General features: G+C 38.3%; 1 protein-coding gene across 4 annotated transcripts in view; it reads left to right on the forward strand.

Moving 5' to 3' along the window:
• Positions 1–27,202, forward strand: part of TRHDE (thyrotropin releasing hormone degrading enzyme) — a 583,493-nt gene that overhangs the window by 193,082 nt on the left and 363,209 nt on the right. For all 4 annotated transcript variants that reach the window (XM_017019244.2, NM_013381.3, XM_017019243.3 and 1 more), the window contains one exon: positions 6,334–6,607. In XM_017019244.2, coding sequence (XP_016874733.1) covers positions 6,464–6,607 — 144 coding nt within the window. In that variant the 5' untranslated portion in view covers positions 6,334–6,463. The remainder of the gene's footprint in view (positions 1–6,333; positions 6,608–27,202) is intronic.

The raw sequence follows: 27,202 nt of genomic DNA on the forward strand, positions 1-27,202 counted from the left end.
ATGGCTGGAGATCTGCTACTTGGGCTAGTACCAGTTTGTGTAGGACCAACGTTCTTGCTTTGGGGTTTCCCCTTGCTGGCAAAACAGTGGGGAAATGGTCACCGTGGACATCCCTTTGGCTGCTGTTTGTTTTTACCACCTAAGCAGAGTTCAAAAGACAGGGAATGGGAAAAGAAGGTGGGAAGGAAGAAGAGGAGCCTGGTCACCAGAAAAAAAAGAAGGAAAAGAAAGGTTGTGGTATTTCAGCCAGAGAATCTCCCAGCTTGGATCAAATACTGGGAGATGGAGAGGGTTGAGGGAGCAGAAAGACTGAGGGAAACAAGAGAAACACACAAGTCTCTGATTACAGCACTGCTGTCTATTAGCAGTGAGAATAGCAGGAACCAGATAGCAGGAACCAGAGACTGAAGAGTCAGAAGGGTACCAGTACAGCAAGAAGAAAAGCCTTAAGTACCAAGGGAAAGGCGTCTCAATCATTAGATATTGTTCCTAAGACTTTATGTGGTTTTGACAACAGCAGTACTTTATAATACTTCCGTAATATTTTGCCTCTTTCCAATAAAAAAACGTGAATCTCAGACACGAATTTTATTTATTTTTATGAAAACCTAATATTATGACCTGGGAAAGTCATTTTAATGCATTCATAATACCCTTCAACAATGATGATCAAGTACGCAGTACTTATTTTTGGTAAGCATATTTAGTACATAAATGGTGAAACAATTATGAATATTATGCTCTGTTTTTATAACACGATTATTCACATATGCACCACTTCCTACATACATATTGCTGGCATTATTGCCTTATGTTTTTAGTTTACTCCAATGGTTATTTAAAAAAAATAGACTACACACTTGCTTATAGTATTGAATATTCAGCAGGAGTACTTCTCTTCTGAAATAGCAGAGGTTTAATGACTCATTGAAGTGCATAAAAACACACAGTCTAAACAACGACCCATTTTGCCTTAAAGAATTTAGTCATCGAGTAACAATTTGCATTTTGGATTAACAATTTTAAATGGGACACGTGTAACTTCCATGACCTTGTAACAGTCCGCTTACTGCAATCAGTTGAATAGTAACTAGATGTTCCATTGAAACTTTTCTTTAGGTCTTGGGAGTTTTTATTACCAATCTTAAACTACTGCAATATTAGAGAAATTGCAGTTGCTATAGAAGTAGGTTCAAAATCATTTTGCACTGTGTTATGCAGAGATGTGGCCAAAAAGAAAACCTTTCAAGTCATCCATGCTGTTTGTGAGATTCTCTTGGTTTTGGCGGATTCCACAGTGAAATGCCATGAATCAATCTGAATACTAACAGTGTTATGCAAATGTTTGTTTCCTCTGCATGTCTTACCTTTATGAAAAGGCAAACTGAAAAATAATGGAGCAGAAATTGTTTTGTATCACATACTGTAATTTGTTGGCAATATCAACCAACATTAATGCATTACTTCTGCTGAATGTTATCATAATGACTTGATACAAGTAGCTTGCCTAGTGAACTTCCGCAGAAATAAGAAGAAATCAATTCTCTATATCCTTCAGAGGCAACATGGAGCTTTAAGCCTTCCTTCTTAGCTCAACCAAAATGTCAAATAGACAAGTTGTTAAGAAAATAAAGTAATTTATTTTAGATAGAAGAGAATTAAAATACATGTATGCTATTCACATTTTTCCAGTTATGCTAAAATGACATTCTACGAATCACACTCCCAGAATGTCACTTTTGAAAGTGGAATTTTTTATGGTAATAGACAGATTCATTAAAAGATAAAAATGATTTTGTTTAGGAAAGCAGGAGAATAACAGACAACAAAATACTTGTCCCCATTACCTTCTGCCTTTTGCTGTTTTGTTTTACTTTTTGCTATATTTACATATATTTTTTCATGTCCACATTATAATTGAAATATTTCGATTTTTAATTAATTTTTTATATTTATTATACTTGGTATTCTGCTTACCACCTCAAACTCACCACAAATTCACTCCAAACTTGTTATTTTTTTCTCAAAATCACCGTTGCTATGGGACTCTTTGATGTTTTTAATGACAGTAAGCAGAAGAGAAGTCTCACTTCCACTAATTGAAGGCAACCATAAAATATATGCAGTGAAGACAAAATTATATTTTTGAAATTCTGCAGGCACTGTTGCCTGTTAAGGGCACTGACCGGAAACTGGCTCTCTCTGTTAGAAAAAAGAGTATCAAGGTTGAAAAAGATGTTACAGATGGACTTGAAATACTGAGATCTGATGTAACCAGAATCTGCAAGACAGCAGACAGGGCACAAACTTAATATGTGAGTGAAAACTTTATTGAAGGCTTGTTTCTGTGCTACCTGTAGTCAACTCACTCATTTCTCCATCCAACTATGACCTTTAAACTTCCATCCAGGTTTTCAGACCAATTATTATGCTTTCTTCTTCATAAATACTTCTTTGAGTTCTTTAAGCTAATGGTTTTCAACTGGGACAATTTCTTCCTACAGTGGACATCTGCAATGTCCAGAGACATTTTTGCCCATCTCAACTGGGGAGAGATGATACTGGCATCTAGTGGTAGAGGCCAGGGATACTGCTAAAGATCCTTCAAGGCACAAGACAGTCCCCACAACAAATAATTATCCAGCCTAAAATGTCTGTAGTGCCAACATTGAGAAACTCTGCTTTAGGAGAATGTAATTTCTTCTTACATTTTCCCCTTTTTGTCATGGCTTTTTGTATAATACCCGTCTAGGTATATGTTTATTTTATTAGCATAGAAACTCTTTGCAGGAAGGAAGCATATATATTTATCTTTTTCTCCCCAGTATTGAACACTCAAAAATAAATGATTAAAAGGAGCAAATGCTTTATAGAACTTGTAGTAAAAAGCTATTTAGTGGTAGTGTAATTTAACATCTTTAAAAAACCAATCACACTTGGGGAATATTTTACGTCTGATTTTTGTTCAGTTATAGGATCTCAAGCTTGGAAAAGACCTTAAATGTAATCTAGTCCAACTGCTCTTCTTTACCAAGGGACTTCTTTTGATTTTCTAAATACTGAATTGAAATTCAATTGCAATCATCTTCAGGTGCCAGACTGTGAAATTGGTATTTCCTCATTTAGACATTATCAGAATATATGGTGGCCCTCTGTGCATAGATATATACTGTGTGTATGAATTCATTAAGAATATTAATTGCAGAAGAAGTCACTAGGTGATCTTTATAGTTCTTTTCAACCCTGAGGATCAGTGATTTAAATTGCTACCTTCCCTAACATACTTACTTACTTGGTAAGGCAAAAAGAGATTGCACTATGTTTTTTCTCTGCATAAATATTTGTTTAATCAAATTATCCTTAGCCCAGAGGTATTTACATCTTTTACACATAATAAATTCTTACCCACTAATTACTTAATATCAAAGACATCTTTGATTTTTACTTAAAGGCTAATTCATTCTAATTACAACCTCTCTGTTGAACTGTTGTAGAACTCTTCCCCTAGTATTATTAGGTGTCCTTTAATTTTCCATGAGGAAATATTATACATATATATATATATTTCATGGAAAAATATATATTTTTCAATTAGACTGCAAAGGCCTTAAATATGAAATTGGTTATATCTTAAAAAAAAAGTTATACTGAGTACCTAATACAGGGTGAGTATCCCCACTCCAAAAATTCAAAATCTAAAATGTTACAAAACCCAAAACTTTTTGAGTACTAACATGATGCTCAAAGGAAATGCTTATTGGAACGTTTTTTATTAGGATTTTTGGGTTAGGGATGCTCAGCTGGTAGTACATAATGCAAATATTCCAAAATCTAAAAAAATCCAAATTCTGAAAAGCTTTTGGTCCAAAGCATTTCAGATAAGAGACACTCAACCTGTATAGCATAAAGCTCACACATAGCAGACAATATTCGTTCAGTGATTGAATTGGAGTTCTCAGATATTTCGAAGTTAAAAGGGAGTAACTTCGACTCATAAATAAAATCCCATGGGCATCTTTTAAATAGCCTCAGTGAAAAATATTAAGCTTGGTGGACATTTTAATTAATAAGCTGAAAGATAAGATTCACGAGCATTATGTAAGATAAAAGCATATGAAGACAAAATTGTAAATGGGTGCATTTTAACTAAAAGGTACTGACATTTCATTAAGCAGAAAGTGTATTACTAATCAGCAAAAAATAGTAAGAAAAATATTACCATGATACTGGCAAATTGGGAAAGAAGAATCTTTGTTACTTACAGCTGAATTAAGACGTTTATAAATTATGGCTAAAAATTAATTTTACTGTTTTGAAATGTAATTCAGAAAATGTGAGTTCTAGACCCAGCTTTGTGCAAGTTGTCTGTGTAACTTCAGACAAATCATTTAATCCTACCGGATGCACTTTTTCAACTTAGAAATTTATGGGAATAGGACAATTTGTTTCTAATATTGCTTCTAGCTTTAACCTCATATTCATATGAAGATTTACAGTTAAAATCTCTTTTCCATATATTATCTCATTCTATCATTTTGACTTTTGTAAGGAAAGCCTGGAAAACATATTTTCCTTCTACTAATGAAAAAACAGGGTCAGATAGTTAAGTTACTTAACCAAGCGTGGTGTGTAGCAGCCTGTTGCTATTTCCAAGATAACTCTCGAAAACCTTGTCTATGAAAATAAGTAACTATTAATTTTTAAAATGTTTTATTTTTCTCTATTCTAAAACTAAGCTTTAAAAAATGAGGCCCTCAATGATCAATGTAAGCTTCATAATTTAAAAATAGTGTAAAATTTATACCTCATGCTTTGAGCTAAGGGATAGCCAATAAGATTCAATACGCATGTCAACCTGTATTGATTGGTAGTAGTTGCCTGAAGTGCTGTGCTGAGAATAATTTTGAGGCCAAGTTCGGGTTTGGTGGGAAAGTTGCCATGTTAGATTAACCATGTATATCACAGATGATGGAGAGAGGAGTGGTGGCAGAGCTACTTGTGGAGGAACAAGCCTTTTAAAGAAATCGCTTCAGAACTCAATAGTATTCTATTAACAGTCTAATATTGACTTGCCTTATATTGTTTTGTAACTAGCATTATTTAAAAAGTTTAATTAACTTTTGTCATGAATGTTTTTCTTATTTAGAAGAGTGTCTGAGTGTCCTTTTTTTCTTCTTTTTTTTTTTTTTTTTGAGACAGGGTCTCGCTCTGTCGCCAGGCTGGAGTGCAGTGGCGCGATCTTGGTTCACTGCAACCTCTGCCTCCCGAGTTCAAGTGATTCTCCTGCCTCAGCCTTCCGAATAACTGGGACTACAGGCATGCGCTACCATGCCCAGCTAATTTTTGTACTTTCAGTAGAGATGGGGTTTCACCATGTTGGCCAGGATTGTCCCGATCTCTTAACCTCATAATCCGCCTACCTTGGCCTCTCAAAGTGCTGGGATTACAAGTGTGAGCCACCATGCCGGGCTGAAGAGTCCTTCTTAAAATATTTAATCTTTGTCTTCATTTGTAACCATAAACCATGAAAGAATATAGAAGGTGCTTTCAGTTGGAATTTTAATAAGATACGGCTTGATCTGTATAAATATTTATTCCTGTGCTCCAAGAAAGGTTGAAGATGTGAATTAGCAACTGCTCCATGCTAGTCACAGTCATAGGTGCTTTACATCCTTTCTTTTCCTCTAAGCTGTGCAATACTTTTTGAGTTAGACTTGATTATTTACTTTTTCAGCAATGACCAACTACATCTTAGGAAAGTTTAATAATTGCCCAAGGTGGCATAGCTAAGAAAGTTGTGGAGCCAGAATTCAGACCAGAATTTATCAGGTCTCAAAATCCTTTTTCTGAACAAAACCAGGCTGTGTCTTGTTGAAATTTTAGGGCACAGAGATTTCCCAAGTGATGGTCTATGTACTACATATATCTGAGGATAATTTTTGGATTTTGGTTTCGTTGTCTTTACATGTTGTGCAGCTTCAGAGAAGAAAGTGAAGCACACTGAAAAGGAGAATCATCACTTTCCAGTTCTGGCCAGTGTGATGCCAGTGAGCTGTTTTTCTGTACTGTGTAATGTTTCATCTAATGAGCACTTCTCTGGGTTTAACGAATTTATTTTAATTGAGGCAGAAACCTCCCTGAAAAACTTTTATGGTTGGGGAAGTATATTACATATGGATTATGCTTTCATGCTATTCATGCACTTAAGTTTGGTTCAGAAAAAAATATTGCAATTTGGAATAATATATTATTTCATCAACAGAAGCATGTAATGTGGCCATAACTTAACTCACAACATAAATGTAATTGAGAATGTCATTTTCTTTTTTCCAGATTCCTTGGTGTTACTCAGTTTTCGCCTACACATGCCAGAAAGGCATTTCCTTGTTTTGATGAGCCAATCTACAAGGCTACTTTCAAAATCAGCATCAAGCATCAAGCAACCTATTTATCTTTATCTAATATGCCAGTGGAAACTTCCGTGTTTGAGGAAGATGGATGGGTTACGGATCACTTTTCACAGACCCCTCTCATGTCCACATATTATTTAGCCTGGGCAATTTGCAACTTCACATACAGAGAAACTACCACCAAGAGTGGGGTTGTAGTAAGTATTTTCAGCTTAATGATGTTTTTGGATAATGTACACTCTGTAAAGTAACCTGATTTCTGGATTAACAGTGAGTCATTTCTAACCTTTTTACACCTTATATAGTGGAATTCTTTCTTTAATTCTTATGGGGGGGTTTTTACATATTTTACTAGTTTCAAAGTGTCAGAGATAAACCTGTCTTCTATACCCAGCACTCTTATTCCCTTAACCACCTCCACCTCCCTCCCCCATCATCCTTGTTCTTCCTCATCTCTACCTGCACTATTGTACATCTCTGGAACAGCTACTGTTGTCTCTTTTGGAAAATTGCCTGTTTGTATGACTGGGAAAACTACTTCTTTTTATTGTAATGTATTTGAAATGTACAGAACATGTGGTGAGTAATATAGTAAACTCCATACACCTACTAGCCAGATCAATAGAACTAAACATTTTACCATCTTCAGTCTAATGTTATTGCTGAGAAAGTAAAACATAGGATGGAGTTGAAGCTCTCTGTGTAACCATCCCTTGATCTCACTGCCTTGGTCTTTCCCTTAGAGATCAACACTGTCCTGAATTTGGTGTTTGCTACTTCCATGCATATTATCCTACGATTATTTCATATCTATGTATAGACACACACACACACACACACACACACACTTACAATACATACCCTATTTTAAAATTTCATGTAAGTGATTTTCTATTGTAAATAATGTCCTGCAACTTATTTTCATTTCATTTTATTTTCTTAGGAAGGATGAGATAGAGGGAGCATTGTCTGCATTAAATTTATAATAAAAATCTATTGGATTCTCTTTGATGGCTATCATTTGTGACACCATGGTATTCTAGGCACTTTTTACATGCAATTACATTGCATTAGGGTAGATTATCCCATGTTGAATTAACAATTTTTTCCTAATTTCAATGGCTTACATGATATATATGCATTTATTTTAATTTTCATATTAACATTAAGACAAGGTATTAAGATTCCACTTTTTTTTTTTTTCAAATGAGTAAAGTAAATTGAGTACAGTTTAAGGAGGTTAAGTAACTTGTCCAGGGGCTAAACGTAAGCAAATGGTAGAGCTGTAAATCAAATTTGGTTGGTTTGATCCTAAATTTTGGGCTTTTCCCCCTGTGCCTTAGGAACTGTGTTTCACCATTTCACTTGTGTGTCTGTAGGAAAATTCAGATTGTGATTCTTCTCATCCAGTAACCTTTGTATTCAGTGTTGCTTGAACACAGCAAAATAGGTGAATAGAAATCTATATTTTTAATTTGTAGGAAGTTGATAGCTCTAAAATAACCTAAATTTTGAAAAATAGTTTTGGCTAAAGAAATTTTCCTCACTGTTACTTTTAATTTAAGTCATTGTGGGACCTGTTTAAAAAATAAAATCTGCCAGCATACAAAATCAATGACATTACTGAAAAACTGCTTATAATGAATTCATCTATCTAATCATTAAAATCATGTTTTAAATGCACACTTCTTAGAAGGCCAGTAGGCATTTTACTCTTTTGGATTTATAATCATTTGATATGTTGAATTTCTCTGATGTTCATTGATGTCTTCTATGGGCATTTCAAGGCTGTACTCATTGGACCATACACAGACACGGAACACGAAGACATCTCATTTCATTTTACGTCTTCAAAAGTTGATGATTGACTTGCTGTGGGTCAGCTAGCATAGGGTACACTGGAAATTCTTTTTTCTAGTATGTTTTCTTTAAAGTATCTTAAAAGTGTTTTCAGCCCTAAACAATTATGCTTGTTGCTAAGTGACCCATGTTTTAAAGCCAGACACTCTCTAATAGTTACTTAGATGTGACTTTTTGTTAGAGTTAAGAATCTCTAAGTAATTAGTAAATATTTAAAAATTCCTGCTTAATAATTTTTATGTAGAAATGATAAAACATGCTACCAGAGAACACTGAAAGGTCAATTGAAATAAAATTTTAGATTGCATAACCTAAAATACTAAAATCTATAAAAAAGAAAACAAAATTGCCGTTGGGAGCTCTTATTTATCAACTGTGGAAATATAGTTTAGAACTTGACTCCTTTTTTCTGTCACTGTTTTGAAATCCAATCTGTTTTCTTTTCACTGCCTTTCCCCTTTTATTATTCGGAGCATATGAGAATGACATTTCTCAACACTTAACAGCTGGAAGGAGTGGAAGTTTAGCTTTAGAATCTTGGATGTGGGATGATCACATGAAGTCCAGGTGGTCATTTCAGATCAGAAGCTGAAGCAATTTTCTTTGAGATATGAAAGAGGAACTTCAGTAGCATGTAAATAATATACAGCTGAATGGTAGTAGGGCCCTAAGTGTGAATATTTGAGACATCATCATCACTGTTATTATTTGCTGATCAAGCTACCTACATTTTGCAAGGCACTATTCTAAGTAATTAGAAAGATTAAAAAAAAATCTAAAATCCTTCTGGTACAGAGATTGCAAATTCAAGCATTCAGACTGAATCCAAGGCTGCAGCCATGTTTTGTTTACCCATCCCCAAAATGGCTTAACATTTTTTATATTAGTTGTCAACATTTAGAAAGTAGAAGATTGCACATAAACTTATTTATTTCTGGCTTCTCTTGAAAAATGGAAAGCTCTTCTAACACTAAGGTTACACTCCTATTTGGTAACATTTGTTCATTTATTCCTTCAACAAGTATTTATTGACTGAATGGCAGGTATTGTTCTAGGCTCTTGTGATATAGCAGCAAACAAAGCAGAAAAGGTTCCTGCTCCCAGGGAGCTTATATTCTAATGAGGTGAGAGAAGCAATAAAGAAAAATATATAATATGTCAGAGAGTGATATATGCTATTAAGAAAATCACTGTGCTAGAGCTGGGTGGTGGTGACTCACTTACATGAGGCATTTGCTTCCCAGTTTCACTTAATCCAGACCGCTTTTATTCTTTTGCATCTAGTCCATTTCACTGATATTTATTTCCTGTTTTGATCAATCCTATAGACATTTGGAGTTGAAAATCCAGAGGGTAGCCTAGGACTGTGCGTAGGAAAAACAATGAATTCAATAATTGTGGTTTAGGAACACTAGTATTTACGTATTCACGAATTGCTTTGATTGAAACTTGTAGAAAATAAGTTCAAGACTAGTTGGAAGAGGGAGAAATTCTTAAGGTTTGCAGTCTAGGGATGTGCTTCATGGAGGAGATAGGATTCAGTATGGCCCTGAATGATGGTTTGGTCTTAGAGAAGCAGATACTGTGTGCATATAATTCTTTGCCAGGGAGATGTTAACAGGAAAAGACACAGAGGTAGGTATATCTCTATGGAATATAGTGTAGCATGATGATTATAAACACTGATTTTAGAATCAGATTAGTCTGTTTCAGAATTATTTCTTTGCTTTGCTTCTCTGCAACCTTTGTTAATTACCTTAACCTCTTTTTATTCTGATTTTCTTGTTTGAAAACTGATAGTATGAATTTTTCCTTTACAATATTGTTCTGGTTTCTTTCATGCCATAGCAAACTACTCTAGAACTTAGTGGCATAAAACAGCCATTTTATTATGTTCAAAGTTTCTGTAGGCTAGGAATTTGGAAGGGCACAGTGGTGGCAACTTCTCTGTGTTCAATAATGTCTGGGGCCTCAGATGGGAAAGCAGGATGTTTGGGGTGTGACTTAACAGCTAGGGGCCAGAATCATTTGAAGCCATCTTTGTCTGGTGGTTGTGTCATCAGTCTTCTGGGATGTGAGCTAAGGCTGTCAGCCATATATCCACGTGTGGCTTCTTCATGTGGCCTGGCTTGTTCAAAGCATGATGGCCTTAGGATGGTTGGCCTTCTTACGTGGTAGTTCAGAGCTCCAAAGGTGAGTGTCCTGAAAGAACTAGGTGGGCGTTATGTGGAATTTTTAAACTTACCTTCAGAAGTCACAGAGCATCACTTTTAAGACATTCTATTGGTTATAAGTGAGCACTAAGGATAGTGTTCTTTCAGCAAAAGAGGGCATTAGGCCCCAGCTCTTGACAGGAGGAGTGTAAAAGAATTTGTATGCCTGTTTTAAAATTAACACAGTCGGCTCTCTGCCTGCAGACTATTTATATTCATCCTACAAACAATGTATACTTGTCAGTGGGTCTCATCCCATTACAACATCAGGCTCAGACTTGAGGTCCAGGCCTCACCATCTAATTTAGGTTCAGGCATAGAAGAGATCACTTGGTTTGGTTTCTTGGTCATAGTTTCTCTCACTCTGAAGACCTGTTAACGAAAGATACAAGCTACCTTACCTCACTTTTCTCCCTTCAACAGACAATAATAAGACTGGAATATGGTTATGACAAAAGCCATTTCCATTCAAGAATGGAGGAAATGGGAAGATACAGTAGTCACTAGCCCGCAGCAATTCTGAAACCCAACTGGGCACATGTTACCAGTTCCTTAATTATGGATGAATGGCCGCTCCCTGTGAACTGTTCACTTCGGCATTTGGCCCCACCCTTTGGGCTCTTTGTTTTGCCTTCTGAGGCATCCTTTCTTTTCCAATTAAAAAGTAGTTTGTGTTTGCAACCAAATAGTCATAATTGCGTTAAAGTACAGCCAGCACATATCCATGAGTTCTACATCCATGGATTCAGCCAGTGTGGATTAAAACCACTGAAGAAAATTGTGTCTGTATTGAACAGGAGCTAGAGTTTATTTTTCTGGTTCTTCTTCCCAACAATACAATATGGCAACTATTTACATAGCATTTACACTGTATTGGGTATTGTATGCAATCTAGAGGTGATTTAAAGTATACAGGAAGACATGCATGGGTTCTATGCAAATACTATACCATTTATATAAGGGACTTGAGCATCTATAGATTTTGGTATCCATGGGAGGTCCTGGAACCAGTCCCCATAGATACCAAGGGATGACTGTAGCTTGTGTTTGCAATGGAATTGAATAACCTCAGCTTGCTTCCTACCACTAAAATGTTGGGGCTACAAAGACCTATTTTTCTTTTGTATTGGCTCTGTTACATTCAGCCCAAGCAGGTACACTTATGTTAAAAAATGTTGGCTTTTTATGTATCAAGTTATATCCACTCCATTAGACAAAATGATACCCACAGATCTCTTTAAGATGAACCTTTGTCTACTTTGAGGCTTTGTGGAATAAAAATTCTTAGATGCTCTTTTATTTAACAGGCTTTATGAGGCATGCCCTTAAGATCTTTATAAAGCCTTTTGCCTTTTTGAAGAGGTTATGGGGCATCACTTTAAGAGTTTCTGAGGTCTTGATAAAGACTCACCCTTGGCTTCATCCTTAGACCATTTTTGTCCTGACAGTGACCTGAATTTGTTGTTTTTCTGAGGCTGTTTCTTACTATGAGAATCATCTGTTATCTGAAGAAGCTGAGGAGAAGGAAAAGTTTTAATTTCAAAACAGCAAGTCCTGGCTCTTTTATATTTCCTCTAAATTTTGCTTGAAAACCAGACAGTTTAATCTTAACCTCATCTCTTCTCTTTTATAATTTTCATGGCCAGTGAGAAGAAGCCAGGTGGCACTTTGAGTGTTTTGCCTGGAAATCTCCATAGCTAGAAAATATAGTTCAGTAGTTATATTTCTCATTTTCCATAGCATTACAAGTAATGAGGTTGCCAAACTTTTGTCTACTACATAACAAAGGTCCCCTTTCCTTCAGCTTTCAATAACATTTATCTTACTATGCTTCAAGCTCTCACCAACAGCCTCCTCAAGCCCCAGAGGCTTCTGCTAACAATCCCAAGGCTTTTCCAGTTTTTGCTCCTAGTCTAGTCCCAAAGTCAATGCTACATATTTCAAGGCTTTTGATATGACAGTGCCCTAATTCCAAGTATCAAAATTGGTTCAAATCAATATTGCTGAATAAGAAATCATTTGAAAATGTAGCAACAAAAAGTAACCATTTTTAATGCTCACTGCGGAGAGTAGTGTGAGCATGAAAATGCCACGAAGGGTTTGGGTGGTACAGAGCAGGGAACAACTTATCTCTGCTCCACGATGTCTGAGGTCTCAGTGGGAGAGGTCTCGTTGATTGGGGTTAACTTGATCGCTGGGGGCAAGAATCTTCTGACTGCATCTTTACTAAATGATTTTATTTGATGTTGTGTGTTTTATGGAACCTCAGCTGGGGCTGTCATCTGGGGCATCTACCAATGGTCTCTCTGAGTGGCCTGAGCTTCCTTGTATTAATAGCATGGTGGTCTAATGTTGATGGGAATATTTGTTTTTTTTTTTGCTAATATATTTGAGTTTTTTGTAGATTCTGGATATTAGTTCTTTGTCAGATTCATAGTTTGTGAATATTTTTTCCCACTCTGGGTTGTCTGTTTACTCTGCTGATTATTTCTTTTGCTGTGCAGAAGTTTTTAGTTTAATTAAGTCCCATCTATCTCAAAAAGAGAAATGTATTAGAAAGTGATCAAGGTGTATCAAGGAACCCAGATTACAGATGGACCTAGGGCTTGGAGCACTGTGGGAAGCTCAGAAATTCCATTTTGGGTCTTTGTCAATGCTTGTTCTTTACTCTCTTACTGGGGACAGGCTTCCTCTCATCTTTGGTTCATATGCTGGAATATGGCTGCCAAAAGTTCTCAAGTTTTGCATACTAATGTGAAGAGCCCAAGAAAGAAAGTGACCATTATTAATTCCCAAACTCATAGGGAGTGAGTTGATTGCCCTGGCTTGAGTCAATGATCATTGCTGGTTACTGTGTATAGCATGCACATGTGGCATCCTATTGTTATGGGATGTTTGGGGTGTCGTTTTTCTGGCTGGGAACCTGTGGCCAATGGCACTTTTGCCTGAGTTTTGCTTGTGCCAGCTGGGCTCATTTCGCCCACTTTGCCTGGCAGCTGCGCTTGGCTCACACTACTGGCCTAGGTCCCACACTAGCCAAGGATGAGTCAGGTGTGGAACGGTGAGGGGTGTGTGAGTGAGCATGGGGTCCAGCCACGGTGCACAATCAGATATGCCAGCTGCTGCAGTGGGGCAGGCAGCTCCAGATGCTGTCATGGGCACTGGACCAGGTGCACCACAAGCGGCTTTCATGGCTGGTACTGGGGAATATGGTGGTGCTTGGAAGCTTGGAGATGCCAGGAACCACAGGGCCCCAAAGAGGGAGTCACAGCCCTGGCTCAGGGAGTTCCCAGGTCTGGGCTCCCAGAAGGACTGCAGCTCTTCTTTCCTTCTCTTTTCCCACAACATGGCAAGTAAGGGGCATGTCTCAGCCCTGTTTGTGCGACAGTTCTTTTAGCCTCACCATTCAATGGGTCTTGAGTTCTTGTCCTGTGACCAGGAAGAATGAGGTATGTAGGGGAGTGGAGGGTGAGCAAGATGAATAGGAGCCTTATTGAATGATAGAAAAGCTCAGAGGGAACCTGTCTGTGTGTGTGTGTGGTGGGGGGCGGTGGGGCGGACAGCTCCTTTCCACAGCCAGGGTATCCTGACAAGTGTTCAGCTTCTAGCAGAGAAGGTAGCTTCTCTCTGCAGCTGGTCATCCCGTTGCTTGTGCAGCTTTCAGCAGAGGAGGACCTAGAGTGTGTTGCTCCTCTCTGCATCCAGTCGTCTGGATGTCTGCTCAGCTCTGGCTGAGCATGGGGCTCTTATAAGCCTCAGAGGGGAGGAAGTGTACATTGATTGGGTGGCCATGGTTGGGCCGGGAAAAGGCACCACAAGTCCCTACTCTGGTCTGTGGGATGGCAGCCTGTTCCCTGCTCACTGGGGACCCGCCCCCTTCCACCCAGGAATCTTTCTGCCTCCTGCTGCCTGTTCATGGCACCCAGGCTATAAGTGCCAAGGGGTATCTGCAGGCCAGCATCAAGCTGCCCTCAGCTCCACCTTGGCTTCCCTCCTATGCTCATTGGTGCCCAAAATTTGTGGGGGGTGAGGTGGCAGGGAGCTGGAGTGTCAACACTGCCCTGAGCATGTGCACACCCAGCAGTGCTGTGACAGCACTGGAGCTTGCCCCGACTTTGCTCCGAGATAGGAGCAGGCAAGGACAGCAGGGAGAAGCCAGGCAGTGGGAGCAGGCATTTCTGAGCCTGCAAGGGCAAGGGGGGCTTTCCTGGGCCCCCAAAAGTGCAGGGATGCTTGAGTCCGCAGCTGTGGTTTGGGTGACCGCAGCTGTGGTTTGGGTGACTGCAGCTGTGGTGGGGGGTGGCTGGGGGATGGGGGGTGGTTGGGGGGTGGGAGGGGTTGCAGACGGGGCTCCTGCCTGCTCCAGGAGAGGGAGACCTGGGTCTTCAGCGTGGTTTGGGCGGCTGCAGCAGCACTGGGGAGCCCCACCCCAGCTCAGAAGGGGCAGGGCTCCTGCTTGTCCCTGGCTCTCGCGGGCTCCATGGAGAGGGCAGCCCTGGCCGCGCCTCCCTGATGCAGCCAGTGTGATGGCAGCAGCTGCTCCAGATGGCCCACTGCTGCCGTCACTATGATAGGAACATGGTGTCTTCTGTTTCAACCTCATGGATGGGAATATATATTGCAAAAAGAAGGAAGTTTTAGAGAAGGGATGCTGGGCAAAAAACTGCTACAGGTACTCAAAACATACTGTTTAATTTTATTGTGTGGACTGACTACAATAGGAAGGACACACACAATTTACAATGGTGGTATGTATATATGTATACCCACATCCAGGAAAGTACAAGACATATACACATAATGCACATTCCTGATGCTTATTTTTTCTAGATGTGATATTCTGTATATACGCTTAAAACACAGGACTCTTCTGTGAAGTTTTCTACTGAAAACAAATTAAGTCTCATTTTAATGAGAGAATTAGAGGAGTATAGGTTAATGTATTCTAACCATGTATTCTATTTTTTTTTTAAATCACGTTACTAATAGAAGTCCTGTTGTCATTAGACATTCCAATAAGATTGCGTTACAAATGTAATAATGGTCCATAGAGAAACTAAAATAAATAGTAACAAAAGAGTTGGATTACAATCTATTTAGGAATGTAAGTAGAGGCTTCCTTCCTACCCTAGGAAGTGATAGTCATCCTCCTCCTCTCTACTTTTTGAAAACTTTTTACACTCATCTCTCACAGCTGTTTTTCTGCTGTTCATAGAGCTTTCTTGCCAGCTCCTTTAGACTGTGAACTCTTTGAAGGTAGGCACCATCTTTGTAAGATCTGCAGTTCATGTTGTATGTAGAAAATGATAGATACTCAGTGAAATTCCACTGGTTGTCTAAATAAGTCAATTTCCATCAGAGATACCACCATGTCAAGGGTTTTCAAAATCTTTTGGCTAGGTTAATATGTGGAGCCTGAAAATTTGTGAGAAGTAATTTTGACCAATATTGAAATAAAAATAGAAAATGTTACAATACCAGTATCATCACTTTTAAGGACATCCGCAGGAAGATGTAAGTGAAAAGAGTTACTAAAGAGAGTTGGGTACTGAGGAGCAAAGGTTTACCACTAAACAGGGAACTGAATCCAGTGCAGACTCTGAGGAGAAATGGGATGGTTCCTGTGAGCAGAAAGACAAAGAACTGTCTCTGTTCTCCATTAGGAAAGCAGTGCCTGAGTATTGTTGATTTGTTAGTAATAGCTGAGTCATAGCTAGGATAGCTAGGTAGGGCCTGAGTTGGCTCGGTGGTCTGCAGCCATGTGGGTGCCTTTATTGCTTTTATGATGTCCAGCTCACCTCTGCTGCATGAGAGAAATGCCTGAGCCAGTCATGAGTCACCCAGTCAGGTCTGCAGTGGTATCAGAAGGCTACATGGCCAGGTCAGAAGTTTATTAGAGTCGAGGAGTTTAAGAAGTTAAAAAGAAAAGAATAAAATTGATGAACCTCCAGAAATTTCATTAGTGTGGTAGGAGCAGAGCCAATAGGTTCTATTACAGAGTGAGTGTAGAATGAAGAAATGGATGTAGTGATTGTAGACTGTTTTTAAGCGTGCTAGTTAAGAGAAGGGGTAAGAAAATTATTTATGCAGAGTCTGTTCCAAGGAGCTTTAGATTATGGGAGAGCTGAATCTATAAGAAGAGAACAGAAAGTTTCCAGAAAGCAGCCAAGAGCTACCTGATGTTAATGGCTTGTGTCTGTAGGGGAAATAGCAACACTCTTTTGTGCCTTTCTGCAAGTTTTAAGAACCCAGGAATAAGAATAGAGAAAGCAAATGTAGGGAGATTGAACTTGGGGAATTGACAAGGCACACTTGGCCAGCAGTCAGGAGGGTAAGACATCTAGAGTAACCATAAATATATTATTGGAATCATTGGCCATGGTACCCGGAGAAGCAGGGAGGCAAGTGAACCCATAATGGAAGTGATGTTCAGAAAAATGGATAGCAGGGGTGAAGACTACAAGTCACCATAAAAGTAAAATAAGAGTAGAGATATGAAGTGGATGAGCTGGGAAGATTGTATGTGATAGAGAGGAGGGTTTCAGATTTCAGGGTGAGTTGGTGGAATTTTAAGCCTGTTATTGCAAAATTGGGTGGATGAAGGGAACTGAGGATAGAATCATGGAGTGAGCAGAAAGTAAAGTAACCAAAAGGTTGTGTTGGAACAAGCGTCAATAACATGGAGAGGTGATCCTGAACAGGTTGGGAGAATCTCTGAAAAAGCTGTAAATCAGGCTTCAGATTCATGAAAAAAGTTCAAGAGTGTCACCTGCAGGGCCAGGTAGAAAATAGGAATAGTGAAAGCCATGAACACTGAAAGAAGAGAGTTGTTTTCATGGAAGTGGAGGAACAGTGGTGTAAAAGCAGCAATGGCAGAAGCTGAGAAAGTGCTCATCCTTCTCTCTGCCTCTGAGGGTGGATGAGAGCAGATCTGCTTAAGGATGAGAGTGTGGGCAGAAGTAGTGGGAGTCAGGGGTTTGTGCAAAGGATAAAAGTGTTGAGAAAAAGGATTACTTATGCGGCAGACGGAATGGTAGACTGGAGGGACATGTTAACAACAGAACAGAGGGAGGACTGAGCAGGCCAAATTTAGTTAATGGAGGAGCTTATAGAACCATTGAGCCCCAAGGTTTCCATTGGGATATTGATATAATGGAGTAAGCCTCAGCAAATCTCCATCGCCTTGTGACTGGCTTTGGCTTATGGTGGATTCAGTGATGAACAATAATGGGTTTTGTTATATAATCTACAGTTTATCAACTGCCCTGAGGTTTAAGAGTCTACATATTGAAGAGGCTAATAGAAGCTAATAGAAAGAGCTTGAAGTGAAAAACAAACAAATCTAAAAAACAGAACAGTTTGGTCAGTGTATCCATGATTACAGTATGTTTATACTTGATAATGTGTGTGATAGATTGCATGGTGCACAGCCAGTTATTTTTTTCCTTCAGTAGAGAGGAAGGAGATGATTCTGGCTGTGATCTTCCTTCCCTTATTCTTCCTGGTAGAATTTTGGGTGACTGCAGAGGGAGTTGCCAGTCCAGTTGTCTCTTAGATAAGGTCCTGGCATATCTAGAGTAAAGTAATGGCATATAATCTGATAATATTAAAAAGTTTTTCTTTCTGGCTTCAGATTTGTTTTTATTTTTTGACTTTCTTCTTCTTTTACATTCCAGTTCTTTAGGACTTTTACTTTAAAGAACTGTTTTTGGCCAAGCCTTTATAATCCAAGAGAGGTAGAATGTTGTGTAATACTGAGGAAAAAAGGAGTGAAAGATGAGGTTGGAGGTTTATGTAGCAGCCAGATCATGAAGGGGTTTGTATGTCATGTTAAGGAGTTTTGATTGTATGCTTTAGGCAGAGGGGAACCATTGAAGGATTTGAGCTTGGGAGGGCTTCAGGGTTATATAAGGAGCATTCTTTAAAAGCATGGAGATAATACAAAATGTCTTATCCTCTTTGTCAAAAGACTCTCAATTTCTTTTCTCCATTATTTACCTGACCAGGATCTGTTTTCCTGTTTCATTAAGGCTGCCATTTGGGTCTAGCTCAGCTTTCCTGAGGATTAAGGAATAGGCATTAAGTGACTGTCTGGGCAAGCAAGTGGAGTTTAGGTTGCAGTTGGCATGAAAAAATGGCCAAACTTTTGCACCAAATGTGTTGCAGTACAGAGAAGAATCTCTGGGTGACCATGATACAGAAGAAATGATAAGACAAAATTATATTCTAAAGGTTGATGTCACTCAGATTCAAATGGTTCTTATAGGATTTGATATCAAATTTCAGGAAGATTAACCAAGACATTCTGTTGAGATATATTAATATTTCTAGGGATGAGACTTGTAGGAAACAAAGAGACAAATTATTTCCTGAAGAATCAAGTATTATTCTTGGAAGGCCTTTGTACTAAGATGGATAAATAAGGGTGAATATTCAGAGTGGAAGAAGATAGCAAAAGTACTAATAGTACGATCTGTCCTCAATCACTACCATCTACTAATGTTTCTTGACTTCCTTATCAGACCAGATGGCAAGATTAAGACTTGCTGGGTCTGGGAGATGCTGTTGTTTTCTCATTAAGTTTAATTTGGGGAGGAACTGGCAAATGCCTAAAACCAATCACTACCCATATGTGCTGTTCACATGGTACTGAAAATCATTTCTTACTGTCATCTTAAAACCATAGAAAAACATTCTTTTATTCATCCACAAATATATATTGAGCAACCGTGTTCAACAATGAACTGAAATATTGGGAAAATCTGTCATAATTAAGATCAAAGAGATAACTGACTGAGCAGAATTCATCAGAAGTTCATATAGATGTAGGACTTTGAGTTACAGAGAGAGGAAAAATTTCTAAATTTTCTGATTAACCTTAATCAACTCAGTGTCCTCTTTGGGCTTAGCATCATCTTAAATGATTTTGTTTTTATGGGATTTAGGAGCCAGACAATAAGACAAGATAAACATACTATCATGCACTACATGGTACAAGACGCTGTTTTATAAAGAAAAGGTAACTTCAGTGGGATGCTAGATGTTAAAAAAGAACAGAGAAGAAGACCAACGAGGGCATGGATAGTGATTGAGAAGTATTGGGTCTTGAGGGATGGATAGACATCGTGGGTGAAAGGCAAATTTGAGAGTTTTCTTCGTGAGAGGAAGAGTACACAGAAAGGATGACCACTGGGTTTTCTTAGAGTAAGAAACACCTTTTTTAGTTTCAGGAATGGCTGTGATTTAATTACTGAGTGCAGATTTTAAAGAATATTTTTATAACAAGGAAGTACAAGAGGGTAACCATTCTTCCAGGCAGTGTTAGGTTTCATCTCCTCATGCAGCCTTGACCCAGCTGGATTGTTTTCATTCTTTGAACTGTAATAGGCCTTCAGTGTTTTTGAATCATTGTGCTAATATATTTATGTTGTTGTTTTTGTTTTTTCACATCTTTTCTCACTTACTGGATTGCAAGATCTTTGAGGACAAGAATTGTTTCCAGTGAAAAACACACTCATATAAAATATATGTGTATACACACACACACACACACACACACACACACACACATTGCTGGGCAGCTCACAGAGATATGTATTATATATGTGTGTGTATTTTTTATATATATGTATTTTATATACACATAGACATATACATGTGTGTATATATATTTAATATATATGTATTTAGCATCTTGGGAGGCTTATAGAAATAATGTATGGCATATATGTGTGTGTGTGTGCACGTGCATGTGTATACTGAGCAGCTCAAAGATGTATAGCGTGTGTGTGTGTGTATATATATGTTCTCACATGATATATATAGTATGTATATACACACACACATATATATACACACACAGTATATATATGTGTGTGTGTATGTAATCTCCATGGTACATAGCATAGCACAGCTCCTTGCAGTTGTAGTCACTCAGTAAATATTCAGAGGATGGTTGATATAAGATGCAGTCTGAAGAAAAAAATCAATAGGTTTTGATGAGTGCCTTTATTTGGGTGACAAAAAAATAGAAGTGAATCAAAGAAAACCTCAAAGTTTCAGGTTGCCTGACTGAGTAGATGGTGCATTAGCCCTGTGCGGTTATTTCTGGAAGTTTTTCTCTTTGCATTCTTTCCCCTCCTCTCTTACTTTCACCCACTCTTCTCTGCTGAATTCCAGGTTCAGGGGGAGGACTGGCCACAGTGAAGCATTTTGCTTCCTTTCTTCCCCTGAAACTTAGTACTATATGATCCTGTCGTATCAGTGAGAGAAAAATGAAGAAATACGGAGTTCTATTTTTTTTTATTACCTGTGTCTCTCTGATGAAATGTAAATCTTTTAAATGGCAAGTCGGGCTGAAAGTTAGGTTATCTTCACACATGCCTAGAATTAATGCAGAAGTGTCTCTCAGTATTCCAGACAGGGAAAAAAATAAAGGACCACTTTGTCTAAATGGGAGAGTGGTCTCTTTTTTTCCTTTCAGTAATTCATTAGACAATGAGAAATTCCATCAGAAGGGCCTCTGTGGGAATGTAAGAGATGCTTATGGTGGAGACAGTCCTTTTACCTTACTTTCCCTAGGGAAAGGCAGTGCGAACAGTGAGAGAGTAAAATAGTCCTGTGCAAAAGAATCAACTGAGAATTTAGGGATCCTATTAAATAATGTGTTTTTAGAAGGCTATAGAGGAGTCAAGCACAGGCTGAACAGAGACAGTTAGTGGAAATAGCACTGGTATTGGGCAGATTTGGATTGGGTTTTGGATTCCACCACTTATTAGAGGCAAGTTTCTTAACTAGATTTGTGTATTCTCCTATACAGAATGGAGATAACAATGTAGATCTTGTAATGCAGTTGAGAAAGTTAAAAGAAACAATAGAAGTACAGTGCCTATCAAAGTGCTTGACACATAGGAGTGTGCAAAGCTTGGCAGCTACACAGGTAAGATCAAGTTGATGTCTCACTAGTGAGCAAGCTAGGACTGTAGGTAGGGTGGGGGAGAATGAGCACAGATGGTTAAATGGGATCCTCTATGGGGACAGCTTAAAAAAGGTCATTTGCAAAAGGCAAGGAGGCATTGCTTATGAGGTGAAGACAGGAATACTGCTATTTCTGTTATAATACTGCTAGATCTCCCAGCATAGTGCTACAGTGGAAAGTGTTGCAAAATTTGTAGTGTTTATTTTTCCTGTGATTACCAACTTGTGCAAATGACTTATAACCTAATTATTAGAGGAAGTGAGATGTTCGTGAAGTACGTTCATTTATGATTCTGTTACATGTGGGAAGATGGAATGTTCTTGGGTTTGTGGAAGAATTGCTTCCAGGAAGAAACCAGAGAGAGAAAGGTGTTTGAAGAGATAACGATTAAATCAGTAACCTAAATGTTTCTATGATTATTATCTATGTGTGTGTGTATGTGTGTGTGTGTGTGTGTGTGTGCATGTGTGTTTATATACACAATTATATCCTGCTAGTTATCAGGCTGTGATTAAAGGTGGGGTGGAGGAAAACGACATACAACTTGAAAGATGGAAAAGAGAATATTTCTGCCCTAATGGAACTTCATAAAAATCATTCAAGTAATTTTATTTAAAAATTGGATTAAAAATAATTCACTATGTTTCAGGTACTATTCTAAGGTCTTTACAAAGATCATCTCATTTAATATTTATAATAATATAAGGATGTTTCTACCACAATATTTTTATAATCTATAGATGAGGAAATGGAGGCTGAGAGAGATGGCATAACTTGCCCATTGTAAGTGCTGGAGCTGGGCTTAAGCTCAGGTGATCCGACTGCAGAGATCCTGCTCTTCATTGTTTGGCAGAGGCTATGATTGAATGACTATAGGCAGACACAGGGGTGTCTCTTTCTCTTCGTGGAACTTATTTGTTAGCTAGATGGTAGACACTTCTCAGAGAATGTGTATTTTGAGCCTTCTAACCACAGATCTGCTGAGGAAGGCTTTACCTTTACCACCCTTTGGAACAGGGTTTCTCAAGCTCAAGCTCTTTTGGACTGGATAACTTTTGTTGTGGGAGTCTGTCCTGTGCATTGTAGGATATTTAGCAGCGTTCCTGGCCTCAGCTAACTAGGTGCCAGTAGCACATCCGATGTGACAACTGAAAATGTCTCTAGACATTGCCAAATATGCTCTGGCAAAATCACCCCGTTGAGAACCACTATGCTTGAATAATGACTTTGGTGGTTGATGATCTTATGGTGGTGACTCCTTCTGGAGGTGTGCAGCCCATTTGGAGCATATATTCAAGGGGCAACATGGGCTTATCAAGACTCGTTTCTCTCACTAATCTCTATTTACTTCTCCAGATAAACGTGGACCCAAATGCAATGAGAAGAAACCTAGTATATATCACTAGAGATGTTAGGAATTAAAACAAAAGGGGTAAGATATAAACATTCCCTTTTAATATTAGGAAACAGCTTCTCATGTGGAAAGAACACATGAGAAGGAAATTTTTGCAGTATCGTCTATGGTCAGGGATTGTTTGGAGGCTTTAGGGATGGTTTGTGGGTTGTTCAGTTTGCAGTTTCCAATGCACTGTTTTACTGATGTTCATTTACCCTTCATATTCTAAATGTGTGAGACTTGGTGGAGCCCCTACAGCAGTGGCTCTTAAACTACATGTGCATATTAGAGTCACCTGGGGACTTTTTTTCAAAATTCACATTTGTGAACTCTACTCTAGACTTAGTGAATCTGCACATTCAGATATGGAAGCTCAGCTTTAAGGGTATATTAAAAGTCTCAGAGGTACACCCTGGAGCAAGAAGCATAGACTAAAATTTTTCTTCCCATGCCCTCTATTTGGGATGATCTTTGGTGGCTCTGCTTCTTCCCTTTAAGGGCACAGAAGTCACACACAGAGCATGTCTTTAAAATTCATATTGGCCATAACTTTCTAAATTGCTATACCTAGCTGCAGACTATGTTGGGAAATATAATCTTTATGTCACATGGCCATGTGTCAAGCCAAAAATGAGGGGTTCTTAAACTAAGGATCTAGGGGAAGGGACATTGGTGGATAATTAGCAGTCCTTGCCACAGACTGTTATTAAAACACAGTAACAGTATCAGACAGTTGTTGAACACGGAATGTGTTCCAGGGGCAGAGAAAAGGAACCAGGTGATGTGGCTGCTATCATTATCCTTATTTTATAGATGAGGAAATGGAATCTGGAAGGACTGAACACTTGATCATTGTCACATAGCTCGTGGATGTTAGGGCTAAAATGTTAAATAGCTTCTATCTGGTTCTACAGGCATTTTCCACTAGACTAATTACGCTCCCTTAATTTCCTCAAGTAATCTATTAGTTACAGGTTTTAGAGTCTTTAGATTTATATATATAATATTTTGCCCTTATTGGTAATATGAATGTCAATAGTCTTAATTGTTCTGATTTTATTAGAATTATATTACTGTATATTTTGAATTTAATATCTACTTTGTTTTCTTAATTGTAAATGAGGAAAGGAAATACCACCATAAGGTGGGAACAGCTACAGAGGGAGCTTGATGTTATTTAGTAAATTTGGCAACATTTTGAGCTTATAGTTCCCAATAATCCAGAGGATCATACATTAATAAAATGAAATCTTGAAGTTGTCAGAGTGATCCCGCCAGGGCAAGCTTCACAGGAAATCTGATTTGGATTTCTATGAATATATAGGCCTCTCTCCATGATAGCTAGTTCATGAATCAAGTAGAAAAAATACCTAGTTAAGCTTTATTTATCATCTTGAGATGACACAGTCAAACAACTGTCTCTAGAAAGTCTTAAAGCAATGTCTGTCTGATCGAGAGGACAGTTGACAGTGAGTTCCCCATAGCTAAGTCTATCCCTAAGATGGTTACTCTCATCTGAAATTTTTTCTAGAATTCTTTTGATTCCCACTATCACCATGCCAGATTACACATCTAAATGAACCAGGGATGTTTTAGGAAATTATTAATATAGGGAATTCATTTCTCCAGGCTATGATTGACTTTTTAAATGGTAAGCAATTCATAGCATGCTGATGTCTCTAGGGAAGTATTTCCTCTGTAAGCAGGTTGTATAGGGTTATAGGTTGTAGATAAGCAGAAATTGGTCTTAATGTCCCACGTGTCTGTCATCTTATCTTGTGGTTAAAGATTTAGAGGAAGAGAGAGCAAGAGAGCACATGCGAGAGAGAGAGAGAGTAGATATTAACTTTTTCTATTAGAATACTCCACTAGTAAAAAAGACACAGAAAAATTTCAACAATAAAAGTTCTTAATTATGGGAAATAGTTACATGTGTGTTATATCATTTATGGCTCATTTTGTATTTTTATTTAAAAGTATTAAAATCCCAACAGTAACAGCAAACAACTCTGACAAAGTTAGAAAGATGACATTCCTACTGACATGCTCAGTAGGAAATAATAAATGTTATTCCATAAATTAGGTTAAATCATTTCAACAAATTAATCCTCCCTGAAAAATGGATTACTAAATCCCACTAAAAGGCTCCAGCCTAAGTCATTATGGACAATTACATAAGATTATGATGGAACATTGCTGTTGCTCATGGTATGACTTCTGCAAATGAAATCACAGAATCATAAATTGCCTTCGGGGCAAGTCAAATAATTCATTACCTAATGGTAACTATGAATCCAGGAGGATTTTGGCTACAAGAATCGTTTGCCTCTTCAGTAACAGGTTCTAGCATTTTCAATAGGATTCACCCTAACTCTATGAGAGCGGTTGTATTAGGATGTACCTACAACTGGAGAAAGGATATTTCTGTGTCTGGTTTAATATGCAGGAGAAAGCCATTATTAACTGGTTGGGCAATCCCAAGCCGGCAAGACAAAACAAAACAATAAAGCAACAACTCATCAGTAGTGAGATTTTATGGTTGAAGATGTGAAGGCTGTGAAAATGAGTAGGTGCAGTCTGAAAAGAGGAGATCATTTACTGGTTCCACTGATTCTGTGCCTAAAACGTGGATTCTTTTCAAACATGGTTATATGAATTCTCCACACACTCCAAATCTTAGAAGACAATCCTCGATTTCTCTCTTGGTGTTCTACCTCTCTCTACCTTGGCCATTATTACTTTTTAGCTTATTTATACTTGACACTCCAGTGGTACAGACAGCTCCATTTTGCCAGGCTTACTACCAGTGAGAAGCACTAATCCAAAGGCAAGTCTCATGCAGTTTGGGTTGTTCTGTTATTCCCTTTTCCCCTCTGCTGCCTTATGGCCAAGTGTTTTTTCTGCTGGTGGATATCAAATCGAAACTCAGTTTTCTTCTAAAAAGTTATGAGATTAGATGACTTAATCTAGTATTTTGCAAGAGAAATAAATAGGACTTAGATAATCTACCTCTTACAAACGTTTTCTATATTTGTGTATTCACTGAAAACAAACTAAAAGACAGTGTTCATTGATTCATCCATCAGTTTTTGATTCCATGTCAGGAAGTAATTATGGACTAAGCATGATACCTCTGTAAATCACAGGCTAGTCAATGCTTTTTGAAAATCTGCATAATACTAACATTATTAAATGAGAGTGGGGAGGACTTATTTTATGATACATAAAATTCTAGTACTGAACCATATAAGACAGACTTTTGCCCTAATTTCTCGTTCATTTTAAATTTATATTAAACAGCTCGGCAACAGTATTAGAGTAAGTAGACGTACACACTTCAGCAGTAGCAAAGAAAAAGATAAGGATTCTTATCTGTGTAGGTATCATGATTTCATTCATTCAGTCATGTAATGATGTTCTTTTAACCAATATTTACTTAAATTTTTACATTTTCCAGGGACTGTTCTAGGCACTGGGGACACAGCAGTAAATAAAATGGGCAAAGCTTCATGAAGCTTACATTGTTTCTATTCCAGTGGGGTGAGTTTGACAAAAGCATTAAAATATACAATATATAAAATGGTGATATATGCCAAGGAGAAAAGTGAAGTGGGGTAAAGGAATGATGCAATTCTAGATAGGATGTTAGGAAAGGCCTCTCTGAATATGAGTGTTTGAGGAGAGACTGAACAGAGAAAGTAGACCTTGGGATATCTGGGGAAAGAGGATTTCACACAGAGGGAACAGGAGTTGAGGCAGAGGAATGCCTAGAATGTTTCAGGTGTTGCAAAGGCATTAGGAGGAAGAGTAGAATGGTAGGTGACGAGATCAGATATGTATGTGTGTGCATGTGTAGGTAGGGCCTTCTAGGTGGGTATAGGGACATTTAGTTTTTGTCTGAGTGCTATGGGAAGCCTTTGGAAGGTTTCAAGCAGAGGAGTGATCTGTCAGACTTTTTTTTTAGATGAGTTTTCCTCTGTCGCTCTGGCTGGAGTGCAGTGGTGTGATCTTGGCTCACTGCAACCTGCTCACTGAAACCTGAAACCTCTGCCTCCCGGCAAGTGATTCTCCTGTCTCAGCCTCCCGAGTAGCCAGGATTACAGGCATGCGCCACCATACCCAGCTATTTTTTTTTTTTTTTTTGTATTTTTAGTAGAGATGGGGTTTTTCCACTTGGCCAGGCTGGTCTGGAACTCCTGGCGTCAAGTGGATCCACCCGCCTCCCAAAGTGCTGGAATTAAAGGCATGAGCCACCACGCCTGGCCAGACTTGTATTTCAAAAGAATCTCTTTGGCTGCATTGTGGCTGTGTACTATAGTGGGGTAAGGCTGGAGGCAGAGAGATT

The sequence above is a fragment of the Homo sapiens genome, chromosome 12 (genome assembly GCF_000001405.40).
Source record: "Homo sapiens chromosome 12, GRCh38.p14 Primary Assembly".
NCBI classification, from domain to species: Eukaryota; Metazoa; Chordata; class Mammalia; order Primates; family Hominidae; genus Homo; species Homo sapiens.